At 36.9% G+C, this 12,539-nt stretch overlaps 1 long non-coding RNA gene across 1 annotated transcript in view; it reads left to right on the top strand.

Moving 5' to 3' along the window:
* Positions 1-9,625, top strand: part of LOC124901596 (uncharacterized) — a 33,197-nt gene extending 23,572 nt beyond the window's left edge. The window contains exon 2 of the long non-coding RNA XR_007060240.1: positions 9,520-9,625. This is a non-coding gene — a long non-coding RNA (uncharacterized LOC124901596). The remainder of the gene's footprint in view (positions 1-9,519) is intronic.
* Positions 9,626-12,539: the final 2,914 nt, after the last annotated feature.

Raw genomic sequence — 12,539 nt, 5'->3', positions numbered from 1 at the left:
TTCTAAAAAATATCAGACAAACAGGCGTCAGTATGATTAATTCTGATGATTACTTAGTTTTTTTCCTACGCGCAGTGACCTCTGGAAGCTCTGAGTTCAGTTGACTATGCGTAGAGTCTCTTCAGTTAACTGAAATGTTTGTAAATAAATGATATCTTTTCTCCATTAACATGTCTCCATCTTGACCTACAAGAGTACATTGTATGGCTCATCTCAGATGACTAACTTGCCTTTTCCTTTAACCCACTGCAAGACAGAAAAAAGCTCAGCGAAACATAGAAATATTTTAAAATATATATATATTCAGGCATTGCTGCAGAAAGTGAATTTCTGCTGAATTTAAGCCAAATTTTCCTATGAGTTTCTATTTTTTGTCATGAATACCAAATGCCAATAAATAACAATAACGAATAACATTTAAATTTTGACTTACGGATAAAAAGATAGTTTTATTTGTATCATCTCATTTTACTGTCACAAAAATCTTATAGTCTAGGTATTACTGTTCTCATATTACAAATGAGGAAACTGAGACTCAGGGAGGTAAAGTTAATTGTTCAAGTCTCACAGATAGAAAATGCTTAACTAGATCTCTATCTCTTGTTCTTGGCTCTTGGTCACCATCATTGGGAATGTGCGCATAAATGCATCCAACATGAATCTACACACAACTAGAGATGATGAGATACCTTTTAAATTGTGATAAGAAACTCCAAAAGCACAAGAAACAAAAGCAAAAATAGGCAAATGGAATTGCATCACATTAAAAAGCTTCTGCACAGCTAAGGAAACAATCAACAGAGTGAAGAGACCTACAAAAAGGGGAGGAAAACATCTGCAAAATGTATATCTGATATGGGTTAATATCCAAATTATAAAAGGAACTCAAACAATGAAATGGCAAGAAAACAAATAGCACAATTCAAAAATGGGCAAAAACTTGAATAAACATTTCTCAAAAGAAGACATCCAAAAGACCAACGGGTATATGAAAGGGTCCTCAACATCATTAACCATCAGGGAAATGCAAATTAAAACCACAATAAGATATTACCTTACAGCTGTGAGGGTGGCTTTTATTACAAATAAAAAGATAAATGTTGGTAAGTATGTGATGAAAAGGGAATCCTTGCATTGTTGGTAGGAATATAAATCAGTACAGCCATTATGAAAGGCAATATGGCAGTTCCTCAGAAAATTAACAATAAAGCTACTGTATGATCTAGCAATCCCACCTCTGCATATATATCCAAAGTAAGTAAAATCAATATGTCAAAGAGATATCTTCACTTCCATGTTCACTGCAACATTATTCACAATGGCCAATATATGGAAACAACCTGAGTGTCCATCAACAGATGAATGGCTAAATAAACTGTGACATACATGCATGATGGAATACTATTTAGCCTTAAAAAAAGAAGGAAATCTTGTTCTTTGTGACAATGTGGATGAACTTGGAGGGCATCATGCTTAGTGAAATAAGTCAGGCACAGAAAGACAAATATTACATGATCTCACGTATATGTGGAATCTAAAAATATTGAACTCAGAGAAGCAGAGAGTAGAATGATGGTTATTAGGGGTTGGGAGTTGGAACGTGGGATGGATAATTGAAAGATGTTGGTTAAAGGGTACAATTTGTATTCAATTACACAGAAAGAATAAGCTCTGGAGATCTACTGTACAGCATGGTGACTATAATAATAATACATAGTTACTTAGAAATTGTTTAGAGTAGAGTTTAAATGTTCTCAGCACAAATAAAATATGTATGTGATGTGATGGATATGTTAACTTGTTCATTAGCTTGATTTAATTATTCTACTATGTATACATATACTGAAACATCACATTGTATACCATAAATATATACATTTTCTTATTTGTCAATTAGTTAATTATTTCAAATGTGACAAGATTTCTCCAAATTCCAATTTGCTTAAAGATCACTTCTCTGGTTAATAACATAGTACTGGCAGAAGGTTGTGTTTGTGCATTTCAGAGCAAAATAAAATAGTATCTATATAATTAGAGTTCCATCTATAAACTAGATTAGCTACCAGAAAAGAATCCTTGTTATATATCACTTCCTTAAATAATGAGATAATGCCTATACAACTAGAATTCCATCTACAAATTATATCAACTAGTAAAAAGTAATCTTTTATCCATCATCTCTAAAAAAGGGAAATATGCATTAGCTTATGCAATATTTACAATTTTAAAAATAATTTATTTTCTTTCATAATTTAAAACTTATTTAGGGTATAGTTTTATCTATCATTTAATGATATTAATTCTTTACTTAAATACATGTTCAATTTTATATTAGTTAAATAACACTAGTTGCTATACTAACTCCAAAGTTTCAACAGCCTGCAACAAAAGTTTATTTCTCGGTTATACCACAGTCCGACCTGGGTGTTCCTAGTAGGCTGCTTTTCTTCACAGGGTGATTCAAAGACCTACATGACTTCCACTTTAGGGCTCTCCCCTCACTTGGGGCCTCATTTTACACTATGTTGAGAGAAGGAGAAGAAAACTTAGAGAAAACACACCATTGACCATGCTGCTGCTTATGGCACCATTGGAGAGATCTACTCTCATGCCTCAACTAAATGGAAAGGGAACTGCAATTCCCAACTCAGCAGCTATTCCCAACTAAATGTTACACTATGGCAGACAGTCCTGAATTTGGATGGCTAGCTGGCATCTCTATGTAACTATGAAAATACATGCAATCTGCCTGCCTTTGTCCTATCATGCACAATTCATCGTTTTTTCTCACTTTCTGTTGTATATCTAGTCTGAAGTCCAGGTAAATACACTTCACTTGGTATGTGAATCCAATTTGAATTTCATTGTTAATTGTGAGTGCAGAAAATGAGAAAATCACTTTCTCTCTCAGAGTCAATTTTCTTTCCATAAAATGGGGTTTTGGAGTTCAACATTTATCAAACCATCCCTGAACTGTGATGAATGAATTTTATAAAGCAAAGAAAGATAAACTATGTAATAACAAAATTCTGGATATTTGTTCATTTCAAAGCATTTTGTGTCTAGTATATACTTGTTTACTTTGCATGCTTTGCACAACCATCTAGTGAAGAGGATGAGACCTAGAGTCACTTTTTCCATTTGTGACCTTGAAAAAAGAATGAAATAGTTCTCTTTCATTAAATAGGGACAACAAAACCTATAACATGGAGTTTGCAAGAATTAATGTGACATATTAAATGTCATATATTAATATAAAAATGTATGTGAATTTTTTAACTGTATAGTTCTTTATAAATTTTATTATTTTTATCATTATAACTTATTACAAAAAATATGCAAAAATCTCCTAGCTTTAACATCTTTCTGAGAAAAGACCTCTCTTAAGATGATTGTACTTCAGACATCCTTTATGGAGCGGATATATGTTGACAAGTGTGAAATTCCTATAAACTAGGAGGAACAGGAAAGTATGGAAACACTATCCACAGGTCCAGAAGCTCCAACACTCCTGCATCTGTGGCTAAAAAGCACATATGGTAAGGAAAGAAAATGGCAAGAGGAGATGGATTTATAGTTTTGCTATCAAATCTAGGTAATATATTTATATATGTCTGTGTGTATTTTTTATTTTAAAATATTTTGTAGACTTTTAATCCACAACATGCTAGTTCTCATTTTGAAATCAAGCTTATGTCTTTGACCTCTAGCATTTTAGCAAACATTTCTACTAAAATCTCTCCCTACTCAAATAGTTTCTGGTAGTCAAATAGCTTATTGTGTAGGCGATAAGCACCAGGGAAGAGAAACTCTCAATATAACTATTAGCTTGTCCAGCTGGCACAGATTTAGAGAGATACCAATAGGTTTTTTGAGTAAGTGGTTTATGTTATGGAGTCTCAGATCACCCACACAAAACATTTGTCTGACTGCTAAACCATGTGGAGTGCTTATGTATGTGAGCACTCACAGAGACACAGTTAATATCATATACAATGTGTAACTGGAGACAGGTACAGTCTTTTTTTTTCAGTGGTAGTGTGCTATAGATTGTTATTTCATTGAGACATAAATGCTTATATAATTCAATAATCCCACTATATACATTTATATTTTAATTGGTCACTGGGAAGAAAGTGGAAATATTTTAAATTTCTATCTTTTCCAATCTTGAGTCTTAAAATCTGTCAGGAAATAACCTGGTTTGCATAGGAAATTGTACTGTAATCCAGAGGCCTATGTACTATAACCCAGGGGCCTAGGAGAACAACTATGATCCCATAAATTGAAAAATGCGTTTAAGATTTACAGTTGGAATCAATCAAATCAATGCTTTTTTTTCTAAATCTGATGTCTTATCTACCACATGCAACTAATGACAATCCAAAAGGGAAAATGAAAACAATTGGTTTTAGTAGCACAACTGAATACTACTGTGTCTGAATTTCGAATTTCTGGGTTAGTTGAATATGCAGTTTACCATAAATATCACTGTGTGACTTATAAGAATGAGAATTTTTGGATAATGTTTTTTTAAAAGCTAAAATTTGTTTGTCAGATTTTCTTAAGACACTGTGATACAGTGGGGAAAGTCTTGAATGTGGATTCAGAAGCCATGAATGTTTCATTTCTGTCCCTTGCTCTCCATTTCCTTAGACAAGTCTCTTAGTCTCTCTTAGCCCAACTGACTCACAGAGATATTTTTTCTTCATGGAGTTGTTGTAAAGATGAAATAGAATAATGTTTGTAACGTTTAGTTTCCGGTAGGTATTAGGTCATGCTATGAGGTATCTCAATTTGAGTCTGAGAGTACACTGGACTTTTGGGGGCATGTTTATGAAGTTGGAAAGGTGGACCCTCCAGAAGTCTATTTGCAATGGGACTGGGTGGCCCCCAGAAAATTCTTTTTCTGATGGAAAAGATAGTCTGGAATAATGAGCTTAACGGAAAGCTTTGGTTACTGGAGGTGAGAGGAGATCTGAGTAAACATGGCATCTCTTCCTTGGATTTACCTGTTACTTCAGCCCTGCTGGACTCTCATATAGGACACGTGGAAAATGAAGAAAAAAATCAGAAGAGAACCTTTACTAACATCTTAGTCAAGACTTTAGAAGAGGAGCAGCACTTCTTTGATCACCCTGAAAGAAGCCTTTCCCATTTGAAGCAGAAACCTAAGGAGTTTTAACACATGAAGGCCTCCAGTACCCCAGATGCCATGAGGTTGGAGGGGTCTGGTAGACATTGAGGCACCCAGCAGATGCCGAACCAGGACTGGAAAGCCAACTTGATCATCAGTGTGTGTTGGGCAGTCTGGGGGAGGGAGTTCCCAGGAAAACCAGAGGGATTCTATCCAGAGAGCTGAGCTCTTCTATCAGCAAGCAGGGATGTGGCCAAGGAAATTATTACCATTTATGTGACTGCATCTGTCACTATGTGCCAGTGATGCATGGGGAAAAACTGAAAATACAAAAACATATTGTTATGTCATACCATTAGTCCATTTTTAATTGTTTTTTAAAAATTCATGTTTTGTACTCTCAAAGACTGAAAATTTCTGTGAAATAGGATGTGAAAATTTTCAAATGATGTTGCCACATCATTTTTTTTCTTTTCTCAAAAATAAAAAAGGATGTGAGAAGTCTGGCCAACACACATGTTGGACATAAAATGAGAATTCTTTTTAAAGCCAGAAATACCTATTCATTTCATTCACACATTCACTAAGCTACTAAATCTGATAGCAGTTCTGAAGGATACTAATTAATTATGGTTTTAATAAAGAAAACAATTCAATAAACACACACACACACAACATACACATGGATTGTTGAAGAAGTACTGAAACAAATTTGAAAAACAGGCTTTCAAATGTTTATTTTCTGGTTTTGTTTTTCTCTTTTGTGGCAGTATAGTATAAAGGAAAAATCACAAGCCCTTCAAATCTAACAATTCCTGATCCTTCGGCTTAACTGGTTGTAATCCTTAGAAAACTGACCTCATTTGTAAAATGTTACAGAACAAAATTAGATAATCCTCATGTGGCACCTAGCTCAGTGCCTGTTACATTAAGCAGAAAATGCTGTTTTTCCACCTTCTCAATTCCCTGTCCCCATTCTTCCCAAGCATACCTTTCCATTCCAAGGATCCACAAACAAAGCAGCAAAATGGTTAAGAAACAGCAAAATGGTTAAGAAATGGGTCTGTAAGCTGTTTCTGACAAGTTATGCTACATTCTCAAGGCTTCTGTTTTCTCATCTATAAAATGGGGATGACTGCACTTTCCACGCAGATTTTTATGAGCGGTAAATGGGTTAAGTCATGTGAAGTTCTGAGAAGTGTGAAAGTTCTATGGGAACTTTTTTGTCATTCCTATCTTTAAGACATAGAAGAGTACCTGGAACAAGTAGGTACAAAATAAATATTTCTAATCAACGAATGAACGCTGTGACATGCTTGCTTCTCTTTGTCTAATACAAACTATCCCTTTGTAGACTGTGGGACCTGTGTGGGTGTGTGCAGGGCAGAGGTTTAGAGGCTGAACCTAAATGGAAATAAGGAAGCCTCCCCGTGACTTCTCATGACTCAAACTGTATTTTCTGTGACCCACTATCACATTCCTCCATAGTAGATATGCCTGCCCTGTCTTGCACAGGCACAGATCTGGGTTCAATGCTTGAGCACTGATCTCTGTGCCAGTGTGTCTCCATGCTGCCTTCTGTCCAGGCTGGCTGAGGGTGGAGCTGCTGAAGAGCAGTTTAGTTGCTGTGGTACATTGTGTCACGTAATAAAAGATCCATGGAAAGAATCACTTTCCGCCTTACCTTGTGAATACGTATCTTTATTATAATGAGCTCTCTTTTACACACAAACTTTCAATATTTTCTAGTCTCTCAACAGTAATATTGCAAATTCCGGAGTTATACAAGGAATGTTATAAAATTCCTTTGGTCTGGACCACCGTTTAAGAATACCTGAACAAGTACCTAAGTAGATTAAGTGCTACTGGAATGTGGTGTGTGTCTTGATGATTCTCTTTGATGACTGCTAGCATGCTAGCAGATGGTGCTTACTATATATAATGTAGGTTATGCACTAGGCAATTCAGGCTCAGTGTAATTAAGCTGCTTTAAAAGCAAATTATAAATTCAACATACTATTATTATGTGGCTCCGAACTTTGCTTTATGAAACTCTGTGAGAATCTATATGTCCTGAGTTGTATTATTTTTCTAATATGCTTTTAAGTGCGGTCCCTTTGTACAAGTTGAGTATCCCTAATCCAAAAATCCGAAATCTGAAATGCTCCAAAATCTGAAACTTTTTGAGGGTCAACATGATGTTCAAAGGAAATGTCCACTGGAACATTTCAGATTCCAGATTTTTGGATGAGAAATGCTCAACTGGTAAGTACAATGTAAATATCCCAAAATTTATTTTTAATAATCTTAAATCTGAAGCACTTTGGATAAGGGATATTCAACCTGTAGTTAATTGCAAGCAAACTTAACTATATTAAAATGGTCCTCACTAATCCTCAACATGCCACCCTTTAAGAAGACTAATAGAATGAATCATGAGGGTGGGATAGGAAGGTCATGTGATGTTTTGACTAAGGCAAATGAAGGAAACCCACCCCTTTCAGCCTCTGCGTGCTGCTTTGTTTTCTACTCTTCCTTTGCGATGTGGCAGCAAAATATTTATGATGAGAATCACTGAAAGTGTCAGCCACATGCTGAATGAAAATAGCCAGATCAGCAGCCAGGAGGATGCCATGCCCAACATTGTGGAGGGACTTGGAGTTTAGTAATTAACACGCCATCCCCCAAGTCAAACACGAGATGACAATTGCTTGGGAAAATATTTGAGAGTGTTTATTTTTAGAAAATTGAATTCATTGCTTTCATTGCTTTGATCCCTTCTATACTACAATATGCCTAGTGAAGACTTCTCAAGACAATCATTTTCTTCTTGAAGCTGACCAAACAAGAGATTTTACAGTTCCTCATCTTAGCAATCAAAGAGACCTAGTATAATTCAATCATGAATCACACTCTATTTCTGTAATAAATGTGTCTAATCGTAGATGCTTAAGTGCAAATGCAGGAAACAATCTTATTTGTCATTATGTGTGTGCATGCATATGTACATGTAGGTTAAAATTCCAGATCTAAACTTTTTTTGGTACTTTTCAGGGTTGCAAGCAAAATCATCCTTAAATTGAGAAATAGTGATTGTGATAGTCTTAAAAATACTCTAAAACCTTTACCGTATTCCCTTCCCCGCAAAGAATCTTAGAACTAAGAACTTAAGCTTTCATTTAATCTGTTAGGAAAATACAAACTCTAGTTTGTAAATGCTAAGGGATACATGAATAGAAGCATTTCTTCCCCAAACTGAGAGCCTTGGGACTTATAACTCTGGTTTGTCAGATATCACCAAAAGGTCTATTGAGAGGTTTATTGTTGCAAACACACACACGTGTGCACACACACACACGAGTCAAGTCAGCTGGGAAATAACACAGGAATAATGGGTGATGTGTGGACTTGACTGAGTCAATTATAATAAATAATCGCATTGCTTTAATTTAAGAGATCAAATGATGGTTGAAGTAACACTAAAAATAAGTCCTTTTGGCCAGGCATGGTGGCTCACACCTGTAATCCCAGCACTTTGGGAGGCCAAGGCGGGCAGATCACGAGGTCGGGAGATCGAGACCATCCTGGCTAACATGGTGAAACCTTGTCTCTACTAAAAATACAAAAAATTAGCTGGGCGTGGTGGCAGGCACCTGTAGTCCCAGCTACTCGGGAGGCTGAGGCAGGAGAATGGCGTGAACCCGGGAGGCGAGCTTGCAGTGAGCCAAGATCACCCCACTGCACTCCAGCCTGGGTGACAGCGCGAGGCTCCATCTCAAATAAATAAATAAAATAAAATAAAATAAAATAGTCCTTTAAACTGTTTTACAATGATCAGTCCAGAAGGTGCAGCTCAGTAACAATACCCTGAGGATTCCACAGCTCAGCATATCTTGTGGAGCCCTGAAGCAGTGATTCTTTACCCCTCTTGGGTATCAGACCAGCACTGAGATTCTCACCAAAGCCCTAGATATTCTCATCCGAAAATGCAGAAACACATACAAAATTTTGAATACAATTCCTTTAGTCTGACCACTGTTTAAGAATACCTGAACAAGTACCTCAGGAAGTCTTTTCCCCTGAGGGGTCTTACCCAGCCATCATCTGGACTAATAGTCTTAAATATGGAAGCCAACTATTCTTATGTTTATAAGGTGGCATCAATGAATGCACTTAGCATGCCTGATAAAAATACAGAAATAAAATCCATATATACATACATTACTAAGTGTATCGACATCCATCTGTATTAGAGTATATGCTTTACATTCAACTGTGAGATTTTTAATCAATTTTCCATAATTCCAAATCTCAGATTTTCTTTCCAAATAATTGGAATGTATATTTTTAAAATACCAAGTTTGCTTCTTTTCTTCCCCCAGATCCCCGTCTTCAGAGACCAAGTTTACTACTTAATGACTGAACATTTTATCCGCAAAACCCCTGATCCACTGACTTACTGTGCTAATAAAACTTACTTCCATAATAGCATGTTGTTACGGGTGAGTTTTCGTTCTTAGCACTCCCAAGATGGTGGCGGACCACTCCCAAGATAGTGGCGGCCACTTCCAAGATGGCAGCAAGCCTTTTGTTCCCTGATCTGGGGTTCTTGGCCTCACGGATTCCAAGGAATGGAACCTTGGGCCATGCGGTGAGTGTTATAGCTCTATTAGAAGCCATGGATCACAGAAGAGAACCGTGGAACCCAGCAACTAGTGTTCAGCTCAATTGGGACGAACCCAAGGACTTAGCTGCGCAGGAACAATGGTGAGCCTCTAGTCCTAACGGGAGCCACAGCGGCTGCCTGGCTGGATCAGAAACGCAACGGACACCCTGCCCGATCTGGAGGGGTGGATGGCAGCGAACAGCAGTGGTGGACGGTGAGCGAAAGCTCAGCTTGAGGCAGAACAAACACGGACCAGAAGAGTGTGCAGTTGCAAGATCTAATAGAATGAAAACAGAGCTCCCATACAGTGGGAGGGGACCCAAAGGGGGTTGCCCACTCCTGGCTCAAATGCCTGGGGTTTATATCCCAATCATTGTCCCTCCCCCTGTGCTTTCAGATGACAGATGATTTGATTATTTCTTTACCTCCTGCATTTAGCCTAACTGGTATTTTAGTGAGCCCTCTTTACTACCTGATTGGTCGGGTGTGAGCTGAGTTACAAGCCCCGTGTTTAAAGGTGGGTGCAGTCACCTTCCCCAGCTAGGCTTAGGAATTCTTAGCCTAGAAAATCCAGCTAGTCCTATCTCTCAGTATCACTGAGAAAAGGATGCAAAATATTGACCAATTTTTTCAAATATGGAAGTGTTATTTATAAAGAGGATTGCGATACATAAAAAGGAGAAAATCTGGACTAAAAGAATATTGGTACAAATGTACAGCCACATGTACTCAATTCTACATTGCCTGGCTGGTGGCTAGCATTAACACAAGATCTGAAATCTGTGCAGAACTCTACTGGTATGCCATGGAGGCTCATTTTATAGCTAAAATGTTAACTGGCAAAGCATTGCTTAGAGCACATGGGGCGTGAGAAAACTCATGGACAAACAGGTCATGACAACATAAAATGAAGTATTTAATAGGAAAATATTAAGCCCTCACTTATATATTTGAAATATTCTCTACTTACTTTCTACACAGAAGTTTTAATGATCTGGTTGCTAGTTATAAGGACTCAACCATTGCCTGGGAACTTTAGGTGATTCCTAACAGCCTGGCTACTTGGCAACACCACCTTGCCAGCAAGGAGCCTCTCTAATGAAGCTGACCTTCTAAAGAAGATTCTAGTCCCAGTGCTAGGATCATGCATGGGGATGATTCAGCTTATTTCTCCTTTTTCCACAGCAGCCATCTTTTCTTAGTTTCTGGAGAACTCTCTAAGGCACACAATAAAATGTTCAGCTATGCTCAGATATTTCTGTCACTCTTCAGTGTTTCTTAACGTGTCTACTATGGAATCCTAGTCCTGTAAGATTCCCTATAGAAGGAAGCAGGGGAGGGGCAATTTCTCCTTGGATAAATAACTTTAGAAAACATAGTGTAAAATGTCCCCTCAAGTGAAATTTCATAATACAAATTAGTGCATTAAAGATCTGATACTTTGGGTCTGCACAAAATTATTTTTTAACTAAATTTTTATTTGGTTATTAACCAAAAGCCTGTTAATACCCTGGGGATTAATATCTTGCATACACTTTGGAAAATATTTTATCATATCCTAGAGCTCATTCACACATTTTTTTGCTTCTACTCCTAGCCGTCCCTCCAACCAGAATAGAAGTTCAATTCTCCTTGTCCTCTCTCCTATCTGGAGTTTCTTCTCCAGAAACCATTCTTTCCTTCCCTTCTCCAGAGTCATGATCAGATATGACCTAATCACTGAATTTTTCTTGGAAACTTTTACTACAGATGCTTATTTTTTTCAGAAGTTTAGAAATAGATTGGGGATTAAATGTAAACATGTTTACAGTTTTGTGGTTGCAATGATCCCTCTTAATAGATTACAGGAAAATACATAGGGTATGTAATTTAGCTGCCAACTGAATCAACATTGTTAGTTCTCCTTAACTTTCATGGGATATAAATTTGGAAGAATAAAGATTAGTAAGCAATTTTATTATAATATGTGTTTACTAAACTTATGACTGCATATTTGTATCCAGTTTTAACACAACTAGCTTTAAAAATGGCCTAGGTATTCACTGTGCTAAAGGACTATTGGGTTTTCATGAGTTGCATTGGTTTTTCCATACCTCAGTGAATATGATCATTTTTTTCATAAGCTCTATAAAAGTTATTAACATCTGAAAAGTACAAATATTTATCTTATGTCTAATTTCTGGGGCTCTGAAATCCAACCCCTTGCTGTGAGTCAACGCTCACCTTTTGCTCTGTGACCTTTGCAAAGTTAACCTTTTTGCCCTTGGTTTTCCAATATGAAAAAATGGTAATAATACTAATATAAACCTCCATAAGACTGCTAAGTGAATTACAGAAAATAAACTCAAAGGGCTTGGAATATTATCCAGAGAATGGTAAGTGCTTAATAAATGTTAGCTATTGTTACTATGAGGAAAGTGGTATAGATAAAATAAAACTCATTCCAATGTCCTCCTGCAAATGCCTTCTCTCTTCTCCTTATTAGAACTGAATGGCCAGAAGTAGCAAGAAGTTGATTCAGAAATGGAGGAAAGCAAAAAGTTTGTCCCAGCACACAGGCACAGATAATCCACTTGCCCAAGTCATTTGAATTAGGCATGATAGCAAATGTCAAGAAATGCAAATACACAAATACACATGTATGGAGAGGCAGGGAGTTATTAGTTTCTATGAAAACTGAGTAACTTACCCATGACATCAATGTCAGTAAGTGTACACTGAGCAAATAACAGGGGA

Source organism: Homo sapiens, chromosome 7 (assembly GCF_000001405.40).
Source record: "Homo sapiens chromosome 7, GRCh38.p14 Primary Assembly".
Classification (NCBI taxonomy): domain Eukaryota; kingdom Metazoa; phylum Chordata; class Mammalia; order Primates; family Hominidae; genus Homo; species Homo sapiens.
The sequence above is the reverse complement of the archived record's forward strand: the minus strand, read 5'-3'. Positions and strand labels throughout refer to the sequence as shown.